General features: G+C 41.5%; 1 protein-coding gene across 14 annotated transcripts in view; it reads right to left on the bottom strand.

The window, feature by feature from the left end:
• The window catches only part of DYSF (dysferlin), a 233,203-nt gene that overhangs the window by 39,964 nt on the left and 171,694 nt on the right, over window positions 1–21,545 (bottom strand). For all 14 annotated transcript variants that reach the window (NM_001130979.2, NM_001130981.2, NM_001130980.2 and 11 more), the window contains one exon: window positions 2,737–2,835. In NM_001130979.2, coding sequence (NP_001124451.1) covers window positions 2,737–2,835 — 99 coding nt within the window. The remainder of the gene's footprint in view (window positions 1–2,736; window positions 2,836–21,545) is intronic.

Below are 21,545 nucleotides of genomic sequence, written 5' to 3'. Positions count from 1 at the left end.
GATATAGTCTAAGAGTCCTTGTCACTTAATGGGGAAGTTTAGTCCATTTTTATTAATTAGGAACATTAAGATGTTTTGTTCTTTTTTTACTATGCATTTTCTGTGGTTTCTGTTTTTAATGCTTTCTTGTTGTGTCTTTTGTTCCTTTATTTTTCTATTTAGATTAGGAGTTGTTTTGTCCCCCTATGCTAGTGATTTCTAAAATCTGTTTTCCTGCACCCACTGTGTGCTCCACTCTCTCCATAATGTGGCAGGCTATTTTTCAAAGACCCACGTTGGTGATGGTGGTTTTCTTCCATTTACTTATCTTTAAAGAACCAGCGTTCCTTCCAGGTCTAGTTTTCCCCCCAGAAATAGTTTGAATGCATTTTGCTTTGGACAGCCTATTTTCACTTGGATGCTGTCAGAGACCTCCTCCAGAGGTCAAGCAGGAGGGCTGGGTGCCAATTCAGCATCCGCACCTGAGGGAGCAGCGAGGGGCCAGGGCCATGGGCCACCCTGGCAGGAGTCCTCATTCTTGCTTGGGTTGTCTGACTTTTTGGCAAGGCCACAGGACCACATGCCAGACCTAATGTGTCAGACCTTCTTCCTGGTACACAAATAGTTCTGTCTCTTTGCCCAACCTCACACACCCAACTACCAAGTCGAGGAGGAACTTGCTGCCTGAGGATCGCAGCTGCTGCTGCCTGTGCCTCATCTCTGAGCAGCCAGGTCTCCAGGCACAATTCACCAGGCAGGCCCATAGAGCAGAGACAACTTTTGCTGACTGGTGAAACTGCCCTCCAGAGTGCCTAGCAGAGACTCTGCGCCAAAAGAATCACCTGAAAGCCCAGGCCACCTGCTACCCTGACAAGCTTCAACTCTCTCTCATCCAGTCCCCTCCAAAGGGCTCTTGGGGCCTTTCCTATGTGTCTAACAGCCTGTGCCCACCTCTCATTTTCTCCTCTCCAAGCCTGGGAGGTAATTGCGGGGTACAGAGTCTCCCCCATTTATAATCCAGAAGTAGTGTTGCCAGATTTAGTAAGTGAAAATACACAATTTCCAGTTAAATCTGAATTTCAAATAAATAACTGATACAGAACGGGGTCAGGTAAGTGCTGGGTAGAGGAGGACGGTGTCCCTGGCGAGGGCTTCATCCCCCGGGCCTGTGCCACAGGCCTAGGGAGGACAGGCATTTCTGTTTTCTTGCCCAAATGCTGCATTTCCCAAGACCATCCTGGCCTGCCACACCCCCATTCTGTGCCTATAAAAACCCCCAAGACCCTAGCGGGCAGAAACACAAGTTGCTGGACATCGAGAGGAACACACAAGCAGAGGAACACACAAGCGGCGGGATGTCGAGAAGGACCCACTGGCGTAGGAGCACACCAACAGGCCTCAGCAGGCCAGCAGGCCATTGACCAGCGGAACAACGTGGAGTTTGGTCCTGGTGGTGGGAGGAGAGTCCAGGCCACTGAGCAGCGCGACTCCAGGGGAAAACCACCTTCCCATTCCATCTCCCTTCTGGCTCCCCAATCTGCTGAGAGCTACTTCCACCCAGTAAAACCTTGCACTCAATCTCCAAGCCCACGTGCGATCCAATTCTTTCAGTACACCAAGGCAAGAAACCCCGGGATACAGAAAGCCCTCTGTGCTTGTGATAAGGCAGGGGTCTAATTGAGCTAACACAAGCCGCCTACAGATGGCTAAGCTGAAATAGTCCTCTGTAACACACATCCACTGGGGCTTCAGCTGTAAACATTCACCTCTGGACACTGCTGTGGGGTTGGAGCCCCACAACCTGCCCATCTGCATGTTCCCCTAGAGGTGTGAGCAGCAGGGCACTGAAGAAGCCAGCCACACCCCCACTGCACACCCTGCAAGGGGGATAAGGGAACTTTTCCTGTTTCATAACCAATAATTTTTAAAGAAATATGCCCCGTGCAATATTTGATGCATGCTGATATTAAAAAACTATTCATTGTTCATCTGAAATTCAAATGTGACTGGGCATCCTGAATTTTAACTGGCAACCCTAGCCAGGAGACCATGCAACTCCTTTAAGGAGTAATTTCTGAGTCACCTCTGATTATCTTCTTTAAAAGTAGTCTACTTTTTCAAAGCATAATTATATTTGTATAATTTCCTCAAAATACCACAATTTGGCTGACTCATTTCTGTTTTTTTCCACAGAAACAGGGTTTCCCATATTTTCAGATTTGTAGGTAATTTTCTGGCCCAATTGTAGGAGTTAGGGGTCAGGAGTACATTCTCAAACCGACTCTCTTTTTATTTTAACACAAATTTTCTACTATAGAAAAGTTCAAATAACACTGAAAGACATGGGATAGGACAACAAATCCCTGCGTACCCATCTCCAAGCTTTAACTGTTTTCAATGTCATGCAATATTAATAATGTTGACTATTTTGAAAATCGGTGAGGGGGCCACCCTGATCTTGGGAAGGGGTAGGGGGCTGGGGCACGTTAACACAGATCATTTCACCTCTAAACACTTCCATATTCTTCAGCATTCTCCTGGGAATACTGTCTTGGTTATCCCAGCCCACACTTGCTTCGGGCTGTAAATCGGTGGGTGGCTTTCTCACCCAGCTGGTCTAGCAGCATTCATCACCCTCAGACACCGAATGAGGAGACAAATGCAAATACATCTACTGCATGAGCTCTCTTTCTGTTGTGTCTCCCACTGCCCAGTACGCACACACACACCGACTGTCAGACTGAAGAGAGGCCTTACCTTCAGGGTGTCAAAATCCTTCTCCAGGTAGGAGCCGCACTTTTCCCTCTCCCCTATGGAGGCAAAGAATTTGCTCCACCAATCGATGAACTCTTCCTCCTGAGTGGGTAGAAAGAAAGAGACCATTTCAGAAACAGGACTCGCCAAGCAGCATTCTTCAGAGTTGGAAACCCTCCCTCCGCTGCTAGGCCGCTCTGGACCACAAGGCTTTCCTAAGGGTGATGTGGGGGAGCAGAGAGAGGAAACCTCCGCCTCTCCTGGGGCAAAGACTGCAGACTGAGGAAGAGGTTTCAGCATTTGGTTGGTGTTGAGAGGCGGAGGCTCTAGCCCTGGCTCTGCCCCCCAAGCATGTGTGTTTCTGTCAAACTCCCCAGCCTCCCTTTTCCTTTCTGTGAAGTGGGCATAAGCATCTTTGTAGTTCCTGCATCCCAGGGACACAACACACTGAGACCAAAATCAGAGGGTACATAGGGTAGCTCTTAGGGGAAAATGTCAATAATGTATTATTTATGAACAAAATGCAGTAGATCCAGGAAAATTCAGACCCAAAAGAGTTTTATCTATTCTGCCCATCTGCCTCCCTACCCAGGCAATAAAGGAAGCATTGGAAATCAGCACTTAACCTCCCCAAGGTCAAATCAAGGCAGAGTCCCTGAAAATCAACTAATACTAAGTGCCTTTATTCCAAAGACACTGCTAAATGTGAGGTATTAGGTGAGAAGAAAGGAAGTATGTGACAGCACAAATTTTCTGTGTGACATCCGCATCCTTCCTCCAGTCACTCCTATTTGCAGGAAAAGATGGACAGGCCTGTTGTGGCAAATCCTGACCTCCCCACCATTTAACTCCTCCTGTACATGGTGTGTCTGCAGGCCCTCTTAGCTCTGGTGTCTAGAATATTCCTTCAGCTGTGTCCTGTCTCGGCAGGTGGGGTGTCCTATCACCTAGAGGGTCACCAAGCTCCCTGAAGCTGGGATGGTCAGTTCACCCCAAAAGCCCACCAAGGTCCCATCACTCACTCTGAGCCCATCTGTACCATTAGAGCTTATCTGGTTTAGTGGGAAGGGCCAAGGACACGGCTTCAGGAGCTCATTCTGGAACTCGCTTTCCTCCTCTGTATGAGAAGGTAGGCTAGAAGATCTCCCAGGAGCCTGCTCTAATTCTCCACCAGGAACTGAACACCTATCACAGAGTTTCTGAAAATGCTGGTGGCCCCTTCAAACTAAAGCCAAGTGCTCTGAGCTCCAGCTTACTAAAGGCAAACACAAGCTGGTGCCCCGCCAAGGGTTCCTGAACAGGCATCCTGGGGAGACGGTAGGATGAGGTTCTCGAGTCTCCACCCGTCCTGGAAGTGTGGTCCTAACACACCTTGTGTGGCCAGGTGTCTCCAGACACACCACACAGGGAACGTGTACCAGAGTGAGGCTGAATCTGCAGCCAGGCCCTACCAGACCCACTTACCCGGAGGGTCTTCTGCAGCCAGGAGAGAGGAAACAAGGTCAGGTGGGGTAGCGTACAGCATGGCAGAGCTTTCTGACTTGTAACCACTCTAGAAAAAGCCAGCTTAGAGCAAGGCAGACCCAAGCCTTGATGTTTAAAGTTCAATTTAAAGAAAAAGATGCTATGGGTGACACACATATACAGACATACATATCAAACTCACAGGATGACCCACACGCAGAAGAACTGACTTACACAGTCACGTCCAAAGGAGATGTGTATGCTAAAACACACATATGCCCCCACAGAAACACACAACTGCACATACTGGCACACAGGCAAACATGGACACTTAGGTAGAAATGGTTAGAATGGAATCCAATTTAGCTGTTGAGTTCCCCTAAATCTTTATTTTTCTTTCCCAGCCCAAATACTTAAAGGTTTGAGTTTATAACTCAGGCTCAGAGTCAGGCACAGACAGACAACCAACCAGTGAGTTCTGTACAAAGAAAAGACAGGAACAAGAATTGTGGGGAAGGTATCACACTTCCCTCAATCCTGAATAACCAAGTAAATTTCCAAAGGAATTAGAGACAGATAGTCTGAATAATACCATTAACAGTGACAACTAAATAGACAAACATTATTTACACTAAAAACAGAAGATATACCTTCTTTTCCAGCATCTTTGGAGCACTTAGAAAAAAATAAAAAAGCCACAGAGCAAATCTCAGTAAAGTCCCAGAAATAAAACCACTATCAGTCACATTTTCTGACCATACTGCAATAAAACTAGAAAAATGAGAAATTTTAAATAAAATACTAACCTTTTGGAAATTTAAAGGCATATGCTTAAAGCCCTCCTGGGTCAAAGAGAAAACCAAAACTAAAACCTCGGATACTTAGGAAATACCAACAATAGGAGATATATGTCCCAAAACGTACGAGTTGTAGCTAAGCCTGTCTTCAAAAAAAAAATTTTATCTTAAGTGTTTTCACTTTTATACAAAAGGAATGAAAATAAATTACCTGATAATTCAAGAAATTAGAAAGGGCAGAAAGACCAAAGAAAATTGTAAATAGAAATGAATATATTAGAAAGGAGAATATTATAATTGATGATTAAACCCCAGAGCAAGATTTCAAAAGACCATTAAAATAGATAAACATTTATCCCAGCACTTTGGGAGGCCGAGGCGGGTGGATCACGAGGTCAGGAGATCGAGACCATCCTGGCTAACACGGTGAAACCCCGTCTCTACTAAAAATACAAAAAAATTAGCCGGGCGTGGTGGCGGGCGCCTGTAGTCCCAGCTACTCGGGAGGCTGAGGCAGGAGAATGGCGTGAACCTGGGAGGCGGAGCTTGCAGTGAGCCGAGATTGCGCCACTGCACTCCCACCTGGGCCACAGAGCGAGACTCCGTCTCAAAAAAAAAAAAAAAAAATAGATAAACATTTATCAAATCTAATTTTTAAAAGTAGATATACTATTAGGAATGAGAAAAATCAAATCAAAAGATATTATAGCAGACAATGAAAATATCAATAGGTTTATGAGGCTGAAACCAATGACAGAATCTTAGAAAATGTAGATGAAGTGAATGATTTTCTAGGAAAATAAAAATTGCCAAAATTGATTCAAAAGTAGTAGAAAACATGAAGAGATCAATAACCTTAAAAGAAAGTGGAAAAGATCTCAATGATCTACTTCCAAAAAAAGACAGGAGGCCAAGATCATTTCTTTGGGGGAAAATTCTATGAGTGTTGCAAAGAATAAATCATTCTTTGTTCCACAGCATAGAAAAAGATGAAAGTTTTTACATTCGTTTTATGAAGCAAAACTTGACGAAGCAACACACACACACACACACACACACACACACGGATTAATCTCATTCCTGAAGAGAGACATAAAGATCCTAAATAAAACACTAACGAACAGATGGCAGCAGTCAATCTGGCGTGGTCAAGCTGGGTTATTCCAGAATACAAGAGTGGTTCAGCATCAGTGAGTCAGGAGAGGAAACCCACAGGATCATCTACAGCAGAGATTTGAAAACTATGGCCTACTGGCCAGCCACCTAGTTTGGTAATTTAAATATCAATATATTTTGTAGCAGGTTTCAGCTACAATTGCAGAGTTGAGTCTTTGCAACAAAGACCTTATGTCCCCCAAGCCTAAAATACTTACTATCTGACCCTTTAAAAAAAATTTGCCAGCCCCTAGTTTATAATATGCAAAACAAAAACAAAAAATGGATGTTTAAGAGGTTAGAATTTTTCATTTATTCTCAAATGAACCTCTCAGTAAATTAAAAATAAAAGGAAGCTTTCTTAGCATTATAAAGAATATTTTAAAGCAATAGTCAGCATTGTGTTTGACAGTATCAGGCTTTCTCCCTTCTGGGCTCTTGCACATATAGGTGCCTCTGCCAATAATTTTCATGTGATATAGACATAAAGAAGCAGTAAAGCAGGGTGGGTGAGAGCCAGGACCCAGAAGCTAGACTGCCAGTGTTCAAATCCTGCCACGCTCAGTGGTGTGACATTGGGTCACTACTTAACCTCTCTTGGACTCAATTATCTGTAATGGAAAAATAATAGTATCAGTTTGACAGTTATTGTGAGGAATCAATGAGTCAATATAGAGAGAGTGCTCAGAACTGTGCCTACACATAAATGCAACGTAAGTGTTTATTGCTCTTACTGATAATAGTAATATTGCTGTTGTTGCATAGACCTGGTTAGCTTCTTGGCCAAGAGCTAATCTCCTACAAACTGCTGGTGGGGCACGGATGGCCACAATCATTCCAGAAGGCAAACTGGCTGCACGTTTCCATAGCCTAAAAGAACATGCACTTTGACACAGCAATCTTATTCCAGAATTCTATCCAAAGAAAGCAATCATGGATATGCATAAAGATTTTACTTCATTTAAAAGTGAAAAATTGGAAGCAACTTAAGTGTCCAACAATAAGGAACTGTTTGGACCTGAACTGCTTGGAACTGAACGGTACCTCCATATGATTAAACATTACACAACCTAAAAAGTGATGCTGGAAAAATATATTTACTGACATGAAAAGTTACTCACAACTGATGAGATTTATAAAGGGTTAAAAAATAATGTGATCTCATTTTAACAAAAGGACTAAACCCCAGAAGTTCATAGTGGCACTCTGAATGGTAAAATTGTACATGTTTTATTCCTTTTTGTGTATAACTCAAAAATTTCTAATTTTTCATTGTATGCAAGTATTCCTTGCATAGCTTTAAAAATTAAAAATTTTTAAATAAAGAACAACAGCAAGATGCTTCAAAATACACTACCAATAAAGTGAAAAGACAACTCACAGAATGGGAGAAAATATTTGCAAATCATATATTTGATAAGGGATTTGTATCCAGAATATATAGAGAACTCACAACTCAATGATAAAAAGACAAATCATCCAATTTAAAAATGGGCAGTGTATTTAAGTTGACATTCCCCAGAGAAGATATACAAATGGCCAATAGCACATGGAAAGATGCTCCACATCATTAGACATCACAGAAATGCAAATCAATACCTCAATGAGAAACCACTTCACACCTGCTAGAATGGCTATCATCATAAAGTCAGATAATAAGTGTTGGTGAAGACATAGAGAAATTGGAACCCTTGTACACTGCTGGTGAGGATGTAAAATGTTGCAGCACTTTGAAAAACAGTTTGGCAGTTCCTCAAAACATTAAACGTTAGAGTTGCCATATGGCCTAGCAATTCCATTCCTAGGTATATATCCAAGAGAAATGAAAACTTATGTCTACACAAAAACTTGTACATGAATGTTCAAAGCAGCATTATTCATAACAGCTAAAGGGTGGAAAGACTCAGATATGAATCAACTGATGCGTGGATAAAGAAAATGTGATATATCCTTACACTGGCACATTATTTGGTAATAAAAAGGGAATGAAGAACTGATACATGTTATGACATAGATGAACCTAGAAAACCTTATGCTAAGTGAAAGAATTTAATCACAAAAGACCACATATTGTAGGATTTCATTTATATGAAGCTCCAGAATAGGCAAATATATAGAAACAAAAAATATTTAGTGGTTGCCAGGGGCTGGGAGTGGTTGGGAGAGACTGCTCACTACTTAACCTCTTTAGGACTCCATTTATCTAATCTGTCATGGAAAAATAATAGCATAAATTTGACAGTTATTGTGAGGAATAAATGCTCTTCAGTACTTTTTTTTTTTTTTTTTGCAGTGATGAGGATATTCTAAAATGGATTCCGGTCATGGTTGCACAACTCTGTTAATATACTACAAACCATTAAACTGTACACTTTAAATAAGAACCTGTATTCACATGGATTATCTCAATAAAGTTGCTAAAATTAAAAAGAACAAATGATCAAATACAACCATATAACATCAAACAAAAGAATAAAAGCAGGAATCTCAAGTGTTTCTTTCTAAGGAAATAAGAGTTCAATTTTTTTTTTTTAATAGAACAAGCTATTTACCACCAACAGGACCTAAATCTTACCACACTGTTTTCCCCAAGTTCCCCTCTTGGCTGCAATTCCCTCTTCCTTCAAAGTTCCAGGTGATGTCTGGCAGCTGCTGTTCCCCAGCAGACTCACAGCTGCTGAGACGAATGGCCTATGACCTTCCTCCCGGCCACACCAGCTGGCCGGCTGCTCAGTGACTTTTGCCCCCATTTTCGTCCTGCATCCCACAGGTAAACCCTCTTCTAATCAATGGCCTGCACCTTTAACAGCAATTAGGCATGTGGCAGAATCATGATTTACATATTAACTAATATTTTCTTGGTCCTACAATGCTTTGTTTACCCCCTTGCCCTTTCCTTCTCCTAAACTCCTTCCACCTCTCTTGTTCCATTGTACTTCTGGCCAGTGCCACCTGGGGTTAAATCCAGCTCTTCTCCACTTCACATCAGCCCCCCACAACCAAATGTGGCTGAAGGAAACCATGAAACCAGCTGCTGGGTCTCACACCAAGTTCCTGGCACAGCTTCAAGGAGCCCCAGTGCCGCCCGGCACCTCATCTCACTTCCCTGGCCCTTTACTCGCCCCTTCTCCTGATACCACCTGCCACACTGGCCCTCTCCCCAGCCCTCTAGCACCTCCTCCCTGGCCTCATGCTCAGCCCATGTCCCTGCTTCCTTTCTCCTAAAAGCAGAAGCAACCAGAAGAGACTTCCCCAAGCCCCCACCAGCACCCATGCCACGTGCTACCTTCCCTTCTGCTCCTGTGGGTGCTCGGCTTGCACCCCAGCCCAAGGCCAACCTCTGCCCTCATGCCTGGGGCTCATCCTCTCTGGTCCATTCAAGGCCATCACTCCGTGACTCTCCTCACCCTCTCCTGTGTCACCAACATCCCTCCCCTCTGGGTCATTCCAGTTAGCCTTCACACATAGGCACCAGTGCCCCACTATTCACAGAATACGTCTCTCTCTCTGCCCACACGTTCCCTTTGGGCTTCCACCTCATTACCTTCGCCCCTTTATAGAAAAACTTCTAGAAAGAGTTGTCCACACTTATTGTCTCTAATTTTTATGTTTCCATTCTCTGTCCTCCCTCAAAACATTCTTGTCAAGGTCACCAATGACTCAGGCCTCAATAATCAATCCAGGAGCAGTATTTGGCAGAAGTGGTCACTCCTCTGTCCCTGAAGCATCTCCCCTCGCCTTGCAGAGCTCCACTGTCCAGAGCACCACAGTGCTGTCCTCCCACCTCAGCGGCCACACCTGCTCAGTCTTCTTTGCTGCCTCCTTCTTGTCACCCATGCTTTGGCCATCTGAGTGCCTCAGGGCTCAGTGCTTGAGCCCATCCTCTCTATCCACTCTCACTCCCTTGGGTTCTCCCTGGGTCTTAGCTCTTTAAATAGCACATACATTGATGAGTCCCACCTTGAGCTCTGTCCAGCCTGGGTGCCTTCCCTGGACTCCAGCTGCCCATGTGACATCTCCCACTGGACATCTGATAGGCTTTGCAAAGCTAAGTCCAGATTCCTATCTCTGAACATCCCTGCCCAGTCTGCTCCTCCCACATCCTTCCTCATATGAACAAATGGCAACTCTCTCCTTCCAGATGCTCAAGCCAAAATCCCTGCACTCACCTTTGACTCCTGTTCCTCACGACCTGCACTTAATCCATCAGTCACTCATGCTGGCACTACCTCCAGTGTATACTCAGAACCAGACCACTCTGTCACTACCGCCCCAGTCCAGCCCCATCATCCCATGTGGGATGACTGCAGCAGTTTCCTAACTGGCCTCCCCACCTTCACCTTTGCCGTCCTGCTCCCTGAATCCGTGCTCAACCCAACAGCCATGTACATCGGATCTTGTCACCCTCTGTGCAAATCCCTCCAGTGATTTGTCAGCTCACTCAGAATAAAACTAAAGCCCTTGTAATAACTTCTAAAGTCGCTTGTGATCGAGCCCTCACACCTCCCTGACCTCACGTCCTTCAACTTTCTTCCTCACTCATGCTGCTGCAGCCAACAAGCCTTCCTGGTCCTGAACACTTCCAGCACCCTCATGTCCTTCCCCTGGCAGGAACACTATTCCCCCTGATAGATCCCTAAGCCACTTCCTCATTTCCTTCTTGTCTTGATTCCAGTGCAGCCTCAGTCTCACCCTCATTATTTCCCATATTGTAAATCACAATCCCGTCTCAAGAATTCCTATTCCCTCTTTGTTGCTTTTTCTCCACAGTGATTATCTCCATCTGATATCCCATAGATTTTACGTGGGTATTAATATTGTTTATTGTATCTCCTTCTCCATGAAGGCAGAGCCCTTCATCTTTTTTCTTTTTCTTTTTTCTTTCTTTTTTTTTTTTTTTTTGAGACAGAGTCTTGCTCTGTCGCCCAGGCTGGAGTGCAGTGGCACTATCTCGGCTCACTGCAAGCTCTGCCTCCCAGGTTCAAGCAATTCTCCTGCCTCAGCCTCCCAAGTAGCTGGGATTACAGGTGTGTGCCACCACGCCCAGCTAATTTTTGTTATTTTTAGTAGAGATGGGGTTTCACCATGTTGGCCAGGCTGGTTTCAAACTCCTGGCCTCACATGATCCACCCGCCTCTGCCTCCCAAAGTGCTGGGATTGCAGGCGTGAGCCACCGCACCCAGCCCCCTTTATCTTTTGTAACACTCATAACCTCAATGCTTAGAACATTGCCTGAAAGACATAATTGCAGTTCTGTCAATATTTGATGGATACAGGAATGCCTAAACAGCAGAATGTGGGGAAAGAGGGGGTGATCCTTGGCTTTTAAGTTTACAAAGGCTGATCATGTGCCATTAAAATAATAGGTTTAAAAGAATGTTTTGTCCAGCCAGTTTTTCCCCATCATAGGCGAAAGAAATGAAAGTGTAGAAGGAGAAAGGAAGCGAGAACTAGAGACTTGTGATGGTTTCTGATAAGGCACCGCACACCCTGCCTCCAGGTCAGCTCCAAAGTGTACACGGAACAGACCCCTCTATAACTTTGGGGGTCCAGGCAGCAGCAGCCACCCGGAAGTTGCCAGAGGAATTGGCTGTGGGGCAGTTGATTGGAGATGGCTGCATGGGTGTCATGGGAGACAGAGCCTAAGCCCTTGGAATTTCCCACAGACCCCAGAGTGTCATGGGAGAGCTGCTTAATGGTGCCCCACTCCCTGTAGGGCTTGAAAGTTAGTGGAGAGAGAAAGAGCCAGGAAAACTAGAAGGATTTGGGGGCTGAAATGAGAAGATGCAGTATGGCCTGTGTGCCCAGAAATCAGTGGGTCTCTAAATGTCAGAGTAGACACATACTGGTGACCAGGACTTCCTCCCTGTGGAGGTCATGACATTATGGAAGCCCAACCCAGAACTGAGCTGCCTCCCAGGGTTAAGGAGGAAGATAGAAAGCCCAGACTGCCTAAGTTTAAACCTAAAATGTTGATGATTACCGGGGTTTTTCTGCCATCAGGAAAAATGTGGGCTCACAGGAGAGATTAAGTTGATTTACAGAAAAATAAAGTTATATTTTTAACACACTCACAGATGTGACTTGAAAATGTCATTTCTGCTATTTCACTCATCTGGCTTCTGATGGAGTTATTTCAAGCCCACTTCTCCCTTCTCTTCCCCGGGAAGTCCAGGAATAAGTTAGCACAGCCATAAGAAAGAGCCCCACAAAAAACAGGACAGCTATTCCATGTCTGAACTCAGAGGTGCCAAAGCCAACTAACCCTCTGATGTTAATGGAATCCCATATTCCAAAGCTCCAAAAGGGAAATGGTGGTATGTTTTCTCATTCCAAATGTGTTTTTTACCTCATTTTGCAATAGCTAAGCATCCAGTTTTGGAACATGGCAAGGAGGAAAAAGAAACACAAAAGGTTTGATATTTGAAGTGTCACCTTAGGCTTTAACAAGAAGTCTGGCCATTAAAACACCACTCCCCCATGCTCAAGGTTCAAGGCCCCTCATTGTGCAGTCAGCCAACCCAGTAAGTCCGACCAAGGCATGGACTGGAAGCCTCTCCAGTTTCAGCTAATAGCCAATATGCAGTTCCTGGGCAGCCAGAGAAAATAGCGGAGATCTATTTCTCCAGGCTTGATCCAGTCTAATGAGCACCTTAATCCCCCTGAAGACCCAAATCAGTATGATACGTTCCAAATATTTAATCTCCCATCATCATTCAGTAGACCTAACACATTTCATGAATACGGGTGGAAAAACTGGCAATAATAATTCCTTTCTGTGAAGTCAGGAAGCAGGAGACAGGGGGCAGGTACAGAACTTGTTTTCTCTCCCCAGGATGACCAGTTGGATCAAAGAGAAAAATTTCTGGTCAAATCCATTTGTCACCGAGGTTATAACGTTAAACCTTGGGTCACTATGCAGAACTATATGCCCAACTCTTAAAAAAAAATGTGGTCTATTATTGTTTATAATTTTAAGTAGCCCTTCATGCCTATGTCAACCCAGAGATAGACATCCTAGACTGTGCTGAAAGTAATTTCCCTCTTAGTACAAATCATCATCATCAAGATAGTAACATAACAACCCAACACTGGGGTTACTGTAAGGCTCAGAGTAGATATCTACAAAGATATGCTGTAACCTGTAAAGTTTACCATGATTAATGTTCTTGTTGATATTGCCAGTGTCATCAGTTTGATCTCCAGTACTGCTACCCCATAGCTCTACATCTGTAGTACTGGAATCACGGTACAAAGGTTCCTCTAATTCTTTCATGTCCTGAGATTTAGGAAATGGACTATTTACTCATGCACACATGAATAAACACATAAATAACATAAAATTACTCATGCCTACATGTAGACCAGACAAAACCCCAGACATGCAAATACTCCGACTTCAAAACTACTCCACCCTGTGTATACCAAATCACTTATGCCCCCCAAAGCCACAAAGACATATGCCCACAGCCAGCCACCACGTTGATTCAGCAGAACTCCACACACTTATAACAAAAGTCACTTAATTATTTCTACAAGTGGAACACTGGGCTTTCAACCTCTTGTTGACACTCCCTGCAGTCCAGCCTCCTCATCTGTGGAGGGGATCATTACTCCACCTACTCTGATTTCTGGATCAGCAGAGGTGGGAAAGAAGTAAAGACCTTTAACCAAAATGCTGAATTGCTTCCAAAGGCCCAGAGACTACATGGGCCTGACATCCAGTAAAGTCAAACAGATGGCAAGGGGACCTGATCACTTGACTATTGGCCTGCTCCACCAGATGGGGGACTCACAGAGAGTCGGGGAGCTGTGGGGAACCCGAGGTTGCTGGTGCTTTCTCAATTCAGGAGTCTAAGATAGATCCTTGGGGGCCCATGACTGGATTCTCTGAGGGCACCATGATCCCACACAACTATGCAGAAAGCCTAGAGGAATGGAACCTAGCCAGTAGGTGAATGAAAGAAGCTTCCATCAGACTCTTCAAACATATGAAGAAAGCAACAAAACATGACTAATTCAGAATCTGTGACAATTCCAATAGGGCCTGGGCAGCATACCTTATCTTCCTTCTGCTTATGTAGACAATTTTGCTTAACAAGAGTTACAACTACTTAAGAGAAAAACTATTTTTGAAGGCCTTCCCAAGACTGCAGAAGCATTCATCAAGCTACAGACACTAATATTAGCTCTCCTAAATTCAATTTTAAGAGGATTTGGGGGGAACCTACTATGTGCCAAAGTCAACCTACTTTCTAGTTACTGTATGCATTTTCATATACAAAATCACATTACTTTTCAAATATTTTATATTTTGAACTTGTTGCTAATTTGCTCTGATTTCCCTGTGCCTTGGTTAATGTAGAGAAGAGTTAAAGACAAAAGGTGGGTTAATAAGCTTCACCAAGCACACTCAGGGGAGTCTTGTGCTCAGCAGCTAGCGCTGTACCAACTTCCAAGCACTATTTTGACCCAGGCTAGGGAGTAGCCAGTGCATAGGACCAATAGAGATAGGAAGACATCAAGTTAGACCTCAGAGACAGTTGCCTATGCTGTAGATTTCCAAGGGAAGCCAAGAATATCCCTCTAGGAAGAGATGAGTGTTTTTTCTCTAGATGGGAAAAGAGATCCCTCTCAGACCAGGGGAAAGACCTCTTGGGGCAGGGGGTGGTGGAGGGGTTATGTCAGGATGAGGTGGAGGCAAGGAGCGCCGGATGGTGGAAGCCAGGGCCTCCTCCTCCCTGATGGAGCCCTGAAGTTTGCCAGACAAGTTTCACCCCAGGCTGTCCCCCCTGCAGTGTGCAGCGAGGGAGGAGGGGTGCACTCCCGAGGAGACCACAGGAATGCCAAGCAGGGAAAAGGCGCCCCGAGCCAAGGGCTCCGGCAACGAGGATCCAATATCGGAGGGTGACTCCAGCCCCCGTAACAGGAGAGACCGTGAAGTATGTGCTCTGCTTCCCAACCAGCAAACACAGCAAATAACCAATTACTCCAAATAGCTAACAGATTTCGGCCCTGATTCCCTCCCCTCGCCTCCCCCTGTGCTTTCACTTGTCATTTGATGGGCGATTTGTATTTGCTCTGAGAAAATGAGAGAAAGAATGAGTCACAAAGGAAGGTCCAGATTACACCAGTGACGGGCATCAAACCTCCCTAATCAGAACTAATAGGAGTGGGGGGAGGCCAGGCTTCACTGGCAACACTTCTGAACGGGTGATATTTTTAAAGAAGTACAGTTACTTTCAAGCACATACAGTAATTCTTGCTAAACCAATATTGCCAAATACATGTCCTTAGGAAACCTACTTTAAGGAAAAGATAAGTGACTTCCTAATTAGCACATCTGATATGTACAAAAGTACAGGTAAAACCATGAATGTTATTAAAGTTAAAATACTCCCCCTCTAAGTCTCAAGCTCAGAGGTGCAACCATGAAGTTCAGAGACAAACTGCCTTGGATGCCTTCTGAAAATGCTTCCTCACTTGGGAGCCACACCCTGTAATTGATTCCTTTGCTCAGAAAACCTTTGCTTCAAAGTCTTGGAATAAATTGTTGTCAGTACTCATGAGCTGCAATAAGGCATCCCACATCCCCCCAACCTGGAATTAAGGGAAATAGGGCTGCCCTTAGAGAATTAGACCATGAAATAACTTCATAGTCGGTGAGAGCAAGGAGAGGCAAAGTCACCTCAACAGGGAAGAATGCCTCCTACACTAAGACTTAACCATAATTAGGAAGAATGTATTAATCCAGAGAAAGAGCATATCCATGAAGAAAGGTACTAATCAGGCCTGAAGAACAGGCAAACAGGAGTAAGGAGTAAACACTGACAGGTGTCCACACCAGCACCATCAGGGGAGAGCAGACCTAGGCTTAGGGACTAAAGCTGCCCCTACCTTTGGAGATGGATGTGTCAGTGCCAAGTCAGCTGGCACTAAAGTTCAAATTACAGAACTCTCTCTCCTCATTCTGATTTCTCACTCTTAATCACAATTTGGCTTCCCACTCACTGAGCCTATAGGAGACTATGGGCTGGACCAGCCACCAAGGTCACATGCCCCAGGGAGCTATATTTCTCATGTAAGTTTACACATCTAGCCGTGAGAAAATTGACCCAACAGGTGTCTGAACCCACAAGGTTAAGGATTCACTCAGCCAAAACTGTAGAAACTTCCCTAAAGTAACACCCTGCCTGGTGGGCCTAGTGGGAGAGGGTCAACTCTACTTTACTTAAGAAATTCCTACATAGGAGTTCATTGGTAGGCGCAGCAGCTCTGGCCCTCTGGCCTACCCTAGCTAACCCCTGACTACCATAACAAACATAGGAAATAAACTCTTCAGCCCAGAAGAATAGCCCCACATAGCTGCCTCTGATCCTGGTTTCCTTCTTACTTCTCCCACCCTGCTGGATTTCTAACCAGCAAAGTGAAACTACTGCAAATCTAAACTATTTCCTTCTTCTTTTTGTCTGAGTTTGAGATTAGAAGGGCCCATGAATTTATGGAAAGAATCTAACTGAGGTCCCAGTATTTGACAAGCAAGGACTTCCCTCTGTAAGGATAAACACAAGGAAAAAAAAGAAGATATTAAGGGCAAAAGAAGAAGAGCGATCTGAAGACAAAGACAAATGTCTCCCAATGCTCTTAAAGAGTTGAGTAAAAAGCAGAAGAAAACAAATGGCTCATGTGTATTCATAGGAAGTCTTAAGAGGAAACTGCAAACAAGAAATTAGAGTACACAACCCTGAAGGAGATAAACCTGCATGATGAAAACCATGACTTCAAATTTAAACCTCTAATAAAGACATTGATTTCCAGCAAAATGACAAATTAGACAACCAGAGAAACCCTCCAAGTAAGAACACCTAAATTAACAGAAAAGATATTTCTAAAATCCATTTTAAATGCATGGCTGAGCTGATGGGAATGTAAAGAAAATTCTTAAGGGCAAATGAGAAAGGAAAAATCCAGAGAAATAAGGAGCCAAAATGCATACTAACTAGTGGACCCAAAAAGCCACACACTGAACATTTAGTTTTAAGTTAATCTGTGTTTATAGTGTCTCCAGACATCTGGTAAAAGTAAACACATATCCTCTCTAAAAGAATGTAACTTCCACCCAGGCCCCAAAGAATTCTCAGATAAAGTTCCAAGGAACATGAGTTCACAATCAAACACATAAGGAACTAGGCACCATGAGCAAGAGCCAGCTAGAGCCAACCAATTGCAGAATCAGACAACAGAAGTCAGAGTAGTCAGAAATAGGGCTTTAAGGAAAAACTGTTTAAATAAATAAAAGGCATTAAAAATATTGCAAAGGGACAGGAGACCTTCAAAAATAAACAAGCAGATTGGGGGAATAAAACTTTTAGAAATAAAAATATAGTACTTAAGACTGAAAACTCAATAGATAGGGTAAAATAGCAGATTAGAAACTGCTAAAGATCAAGTGAACAAGAAGATACATCTTCAGAAATTAGCCAGAGTGCAATCCAAAGAAATAAACAATATGAAAGAAAATTTGACAGACATGAAGAATAGAAGAGGTCCACTGTATATCCAGAGTTCCAGAAATGATGAGAGAATGGAATCTGTAACATTTGAAGAGATAATGGTTGAGAATTGCTCAGAATGAATAAAAATAACATCTTTTAAAAATTAAATTAAACTAATTTTACTTTTTAAATTTTTTTTTTTTTGCAACAGGGTCTCACTCTGTGGGCCAGGCTAGAGTGCAGTGGCACAATCATGGCTCACTGCACCCTTAACCTCCTGGGCTCAAGCGATCCTCCCACCTCAGTTTCTTGAGTAGCTGGGACTACAGGTATGCACCACCACACCTAGCTAATTTTTTGTATTTTTTGTAGAGACGGGGTTTTGCTACCATTGCCCAGGTTGGTCTCGAACTCCTGAGCTCAATGATCTGCCTGCCCCAGCCTCCCAAAGTGCTGGGATTACAGGCATGAGCCACTGCACCCAGCCAAAACTAAACTTAACTTTAAAATAAAATTTTTTTAAGTCCTCAGATTTGTGAAAACAATAGCACAATGGAAGCCAGAAAAGAGTGCTGACAGAAAATAACTGTTAGTGAAACTATTATTTCCAAGATAAGGGTGAAAAAAATATTTTCAAACAGTTAAAAAGTGAGAAAGTTTATAATGAACTGACCTCAATTATAGGAATTTCAATAGGCCCTACTTCAGGAAAAAGATGACGGATATTAAAAAAAAAAAGTAAATGTGAATATAGCTAAAAGAAAAAAATGATTACTTAAAATAAAATAATGCTTTAAAAAGGTAGGTAAAAAAGATAAAACTAAAATATTGTACAAAAGTTTGCAAATTGATAGGTGATTGGAGTTAAAGCAGTCTAAGTTCCTTGTAATATTCTGGAGGAAGATATAAATACCAATTAAATTTAGACTTTGCTAAGTTAAATATGCCATGTTAAAATTTCTATACTAATCACTAAAGAAATAGAAACATATATAGTTTTGAAACTAAAAAGAAGAGAAGGGATGGAAAAAAGGAGGGGAATATTTTAATTGAAAAAAGGCTGATAGAGATACAAAATAAGATGGCAGAAACAAATTCAAATATATTAGTAAAGATTGTCAGAATGCATTAAACACAAATAGAATCTATCTATTTGCTGTTCACAGGAGAGATAGCTAAAACTTAAAGACAGAAAAGTTGAAAGTAACAAGGTGGAAAAAGCTATACAAGGAAAATACTAACCAAAAGAAAGCTGGGGTAGCTATATTAACATGAACAAAACAGACTTTAAGAAAAACTCATTAGCAGAGATTTTAAAAGACAGAAATGGGCAGAGGCTTGCTACATATTGTTAAAAGATTCAATTCTCCAGGAAGATATAAGAATTCTCTATAGAGAGAGAAAAAATATAGAGAGCATCAAATATATAAAAGTAGGTGGAATTATAAGGAGAAATTGACAAATGTCACATCAAAGCAGAATATTTTCATGTCTCGCTCAGAAATTGATAAACCACACACACACAAAAATCAGGAGTACAGATTTTAATAACAATTAACAAGCCTGTTCTAAATGCACATTGAATATTTAAGACATCTGGACAATACACATTCTTTTCAAGCACACACAGGACAGTTACAGATTTAAACTAGACCATAAAGCAAGTGTCAGGCCATTTCTAAGTATTATATCGTTACACACAGACTACACTCTCTGGACCATAGAGACCATTCCAGTTAACCTAGAAATCAATAACAAAAGATAATTTAAAATATAAGTTAGTAACTTCCAAAAACCATATTTTTAGACAATTTAGGTGTCAAAAAGAAATAATAAAAATCCGAAAATACTCAGAATGGGAAATAACAAAAATATTACTTGTCAGAACCTACAGGATGCATAAAGCAGTAGTGAGAGGGAATTTTAGAGCCTTAAATGTTTACATAGAGGTTAAAATATAATAAACTCCCCCAAAATGGAAGAAAAGAAATAAAATGGAAGGAATAAAATAGAAGAAAAGAAGTTAATAAATTATAAAATAAGGAAATAATAGAGAAGATCAACTAAAAATTCTTTGAATAGACTGAAAAAAATCTGATAAATTCTGGCAAGAATAATAAAATATAATCTTGAGAATGAAAGGAGGCATAACTAGATGGAGAAGAAATTCTTTTTGAAAAATTAAGAGATCATAAAAAATATTACACCAATATTTTTAGGAAGAAATAGATAATTCCTAGAAAATTTAAATCACCAAAAGTCACTCACTTAGAAACAGAAAATCTCAAAGGTCCTATAAACATTTTTAAAAGCTGCAACAGCAATTTAAAATATTCCCAAAAAGAATACTAAGTCTAGACAGTTTTATGAGTGAATCTACCAAACATTTAGGCAACGGATAATGCCAATCTTACGGCTTACACAACAGAAGTCATTTTATAAACCTGAAAATAATAGTATGAAAAAGAAACACTTTAAGCCAATATCATCCCAAAAAATGATGCAAAAAAAGTCCTAAACTTACTGTTTGCAAACTGAGCCCAGCAATGCAGAAAAAAGATAATATATCATGATCAGCTTAGATTGTTTCAGAAATGCAAAGTTGTTTAAGTACTAATATAGATATATTTATTACTGTAATTAAGCTCTCTGAAGCTGAAATTCCTGTTATATATATTTTAGATAACTTGGGTTATTAATTAACATATGTAAATATATTATATAATTATGTATTATATATTAATGTAATTCACTACATTAACAGGTTAAAGGAGCAAAATTATATGATCACTTCGATGGATACTTTAAAAACATTCAATAAAATTTAACAACATTCATGAAAAAAAACAGCTAACTAGTAAGATTCTAACAGGTAACTAGGTTCACCTGATAAATTTGATGATCAGTGGTAAAACATAAAAACATTCATTTTAAAATTAGGAGCAGAAAAGAATACTCTCTATAACCAAGTACATAGAACATCAGCTGAAGGTTCTAGTCAATGGCAATAAGACAAGAAAATAAAATAAAAAAGTAAAAGAAATATAGACAGAAGAATTAAAATTGTAATTAATCACAAATTATATGATTGACTCTATAGAAAATCCAGGAGAATTCTCAAGCCAGTATAATTCATAAGAGAGTTTAGCAAAGTTTCTGGATATAAAATCTGTATATGAGAATCGATTTCATTTATATACAAGCAAAAACCAGTCAGAAAATGTACCTTTAAAAATTCAAGTAAAGAGAACAATAATGCATAAAATTGCTAGAACTAAATATAATAAAAGTTGTACTAGACATTTTTGGATAAAATTATAAAAATGCATTAAATTACCATTAAAGAAGGCCTAAATAAATGGAAAGATATATTATGTTCATGGTTAAAAGGCAATATAATAAAAATGTCTGCTTTCCCCAAACTGATCCAGCAATTCACTATAACTCTGTCACAAATCTCAACTTTTTTTTAAGTTGACAAGCTGATTCTAAAACTGAAGTGGAAAAGCAAAGGACTAGAATAGCAATGATACTTCTGAAAATGAACAAAGTACTTCCTTATCAGAGATCAAGACCTATTAGAAAGCTATAGTAAATAAGATACTAAAATAGCCCAGAGAAAGACAAACAGACCAATGGAACAGAATAGAGAGCCCACAAATAGCCCACACTTATATGGAAACCCAACAAATGACACAGCTGTCACTGTGGATCAATGAGAAAGCACAGATCATTCTATGATGATATTAATTCATTGGTTAGTTACATGAGAAAAAAACTCTACCTCACAATTAACACGCACGCAAAATCAATTCCAGGTGAAATAAATACTGAAGTGTGAAAAGCAAAACTTCAGAATTTTTAGAAGAAAATATAGACAAATAGCTCCCTTTAACAGTCT

The sequence above is a fragment of the Homo sapiens genome, chromosome 2, assembly GCF_000001405.40.
Source record: "Homo sapiens chromosome 2, GRCh38.p14 Primary Assembly".
In the NCBI taxonomy this organism is placed as follows: Eukaryota; Metazoa; Chordata; class Mammalia; order Primates; family Hominidae; genus Homo; species Homo sapiens.
Note: the sequence above shows the minus strand (reverse complement) of the source record. Positions and strands in the feature narration are given on the sequence as shown.